This window comes from Homo sapiens, chromosome 12 (genome assembly GCF_000001405.40).
Source record: "Homo sapiens chromosome 12, GRCh38.p14 Primary Assembly".
Taxonomy (NCBI): Eukaryota; Metazoa; Chordata; class Mammalia; order Primates; family Hominidae; genus Homo; species Homo sapiens.
The window spans coordinates 114,586,418-114,589,885 of record NC_000012.12 but is presented as its reverse complement, the minus strand read 5'-3'; the positions used below and the strand labels follow the sequence as shown (position 1 = coordinate 114,589,885).

The 3,468-nt window shown below is 41.4% G+C and overlaps 1 pseudogene; it reads right to left on the bottom strand.

The window, feature by feature from the left end:
• Positions 963-1,835, bottom strand: OSTF1P1 (osteoclast stimulating factor 1 pseudogene 1; annotated as a pseudogene).

Below are 3,468 nucleotides of genomic sequence, written 5' to 3'. Positions count from 1 at the left end.
CTTAAAATGTTTATTCTTGTCAGAATAGCTGATGATTTTCTGTTAAGTATTTTGGTTTATTATTATAGTAAGCCTTCCCTCCCTTGAAAAATCCATTCAAAATATCTCAATCCTTGAGATAAAGAACTTTAATCAAAAAACCATCCTGATTTTTTTTTTTTTTTTTTTTGCAAGACGGAGTCTTGCTCTGTCTCCCAGGCTGGAGTGCAATGGCGCAATCTTGGCTCACTGCAAACTCCACCTCCTGGGTTCAAGTGATTCTCCTGCCTCTGCCTCCCCAGTAGGGATTACAGGGTGTGCACCACCACATTCAGCTAATTTTTGTATTTTCTAGTAGAGATGGGGTTTCACCATGTTGGTCAGGCTGGTCTCGAATTCCTGACCTCATGATCCACCTGCCTCGGCCTCCCAAAGTGCTGAGATTACAGGCATGAGCCACTGCGCCCAGCCCTGATTTTTTTTAAAGAAAAAAAATTATAAAATTCCTTTAGTTTGATAAATAGAAATCATCTCTTCTTGTTCTACTCTGGTGAACAATGCATTTTATACAGTAAAAAACCCAGTCATTCACTGGCAAACCAAAGGTGAGAACCCTTCATTTACCTCTTCTACTCAAACACAGTGCAACACTGCCATGTTCATATCTACTTAAAAAAATAATTACCAACCCTCTTCTGGCAGACGAAGTTTTGGAATAGCAAGAGCATTCCTTAATGTTTGAAACCAGTCACTTATTGGTAAACCAAAGGTGAGAACCCTTCCTTTTTTTTTTTTTTATTATACTGTAAGTTCTAGGGTACATGTGCACAATGTGCAGGTTTGTTACATATGTAAACATGTGCCATGTTGGTGTGCTGCACCCATTAACTCATCATTTACATTAGGTATATATCCTAATGCTATCCCTTCCCCTTCCCCCCACCCCACGACAGGCCCCAGTGTGTGATGTTCCCCTTCCTGTGGGTGAGAACCCTTCCTCTACCTGCTCTACTCAAACACAGTGCAACACTGCCATGTTCATATGTACTTTAAAAAAGTGATTACCAACCCTCTTCTGGCAGACAAAAGTTTTGGAATAGCAAGAGCATTGCTTAATGTTCGAACTGCATCTGTCTCCTGTTTCTTTTTCAGGAGAGACGCATGGGCATTGGTAGCCATGCCCAAAGCCAGCTTCTTCTCATTGTTTCTTCAGTCTGTTCTGGCACCTTTTGCCAGAAGCAACTGGACAATATCTGCATAACCCTTCCAGGCAGCAGCATGTAAAGCTGTGTCTCCCAACTTGTTCTGTTGGCTCAGTTAAATACTCCGTTGAGTAAATAGCATTTCCACTATATCTCTGAGATCCCCATGACAAGCCTAGTCTAAGGCAGTGCTTCCAGCCTTGTCTAAGCCATTAACACCCACTCGGTTGTCCAAACACTCTCGCAACCAACTCAAGTTGCCTCTTTTTGCTACTTCATGCAATAGATTGTCAATGGATTCTGCCTGCTCGGCCACATAGTTGCTTGGAGTTAGTCCAGTCCTGCCTTTGGAGGTGCCTTTCCACCAATTTGCATCATTCATGTCAGTAACGTAGATGATATCACCTTTCTCAAAGCATAGTTCATCTGGAGTTCTGGGTTCAAAAGTATAGAGGGCTCTGAAGACTTTATCTTACGCTGGTTTGACCGGTTTGGGTGGCAGCTTTGACATCTCACTTCCTTGAGCTGCATATTCTAAAGACGACGCTGAAAAGCCCACTGCTTGCCTGCTACCTGGCACTCCAAGCACCTCAGAGTTACTTTTTGTCTGGTTTGCTGTCGTGTGCCTTCAAGGACTGGCACCCACCCTTGGCTCTCAATGTTATTTCATTGTATGGATATACTACATCTTGTTTATCCACTTACCCACTGGGGAACACTTGGCTTCCTTCCACTTTTGGCTATTGTGAATAATGCTGCTATGAATATAAATGTATAAATGCCTCTTCAAGTCCTGCTTTCAGTTCTTTTGGGCATATACTTAGAGTGGAACTGCTGGATTCAACACCCTTCATTTTTAATTTTTACAAGTCTCTTCCCTCTGAGAGCACCAGCTGGAGTTTGCCACAGAGAAAATGAGCAAGAATGAGCTGACCTTTGTTCTGGGGTTTCTGTTAAGGCCAGTTCTAAATGAACTTTGAGTCCCTCTTGTGGGACTACCCCAGGAACGCTTTTTGCCGTAACTTGTTCTCAGATTGCAGAGTCTTCTCTTCCTCAACTGCCCCCAATTTACCACCCTATTTCCTCTGTTCTCAAAGTCAGCCACTAAGGCTGCTAGTCCTTCATTGGATCTTCATGGACATCTGGATAAAGTTCAAACTCTTTAGCAAGGCAAACACTCCTGTATTTGTCATCCGGTTCTTGCCTACCTCTTTAGACTTATGTCTGAGTGTTCCTACAGATGCTTGGCATTTTGAGATGGAATGGGGTGTCAGGAATGAGTGATGAGGCTCAGGAATGGGAAGACAGTCAGCAATGCATGTATATGTACATGTATACAATTATAAAACATTCGTGCGTGTGTGTCTGTGTGAGTATGTGTATGGGTGTATAGATAGATAAACTAATTTTTTTTGCCACCATGCCAGGCTAATTTTTAAATTATTTTTATTTTTAGTAAAGATGGGGTCTCACTATGTTGCCCAGGCTTGTCTCTGACTCTTGGGCTCAAGTGATCCTCCTGCCTCAGCCTCCTAAAGGGCTGAGATTACAGGTGTGAGCTGCCATGGCTAGCTGATAAATAGACTAATTTTATATAAATGAAGTCATTCTCTATATGTATATATATTTAAATTTATCTTTATTTATTTATTTATTTTTCTGAGACAGAGTCTCACTCTGTGGCCCAGGCTGGAGTGTGGTGGCATGATCTTGGCTCACTACAACCTTTGCCTCCTAGGTTCAAGTGGTTTTCCTGCCTCAGCCTCCCGAGTAGCTGGGATTACAGGTGCACACCACCATGCCTGGCTAAGTTTTCATCTTTTTAGTAGAGACGGGGTTTCACCATGTTGGCCAGTCTCAAACTCCTGACCTCAATTAATTCACCTGCCTCGGCCTCCAAAAGTGTTAGGATTTCAGGCATGAGCCACCGCACCTGGCCTCATTCTCTGTATAATTTTAAAACTTGTTACTATAAAATATTTCAAGCATAAGCAAAGATAAAGAAAATAGCTAAATAAATCCCCATTTATTCATCATCCACCTTACCAACTCATGGCCATCTTGTTTTATTAATACTTCCAGCCTCTCCTCCTTTAAATATTTTGAAGCAAATCCCACATGTCATATTATTTTTATGCTTAATATCTTAGTATATATCTCTAAAAGATAAGAACTCATTTTTAAAATAAAGGCTTTAAGATCACTCTTGGTGTTGTACATTCTATTGGGTTTGGACAAATGTGTAACAACATGTATTCACCTTATAGTATCATAATCAGAAGTTTTG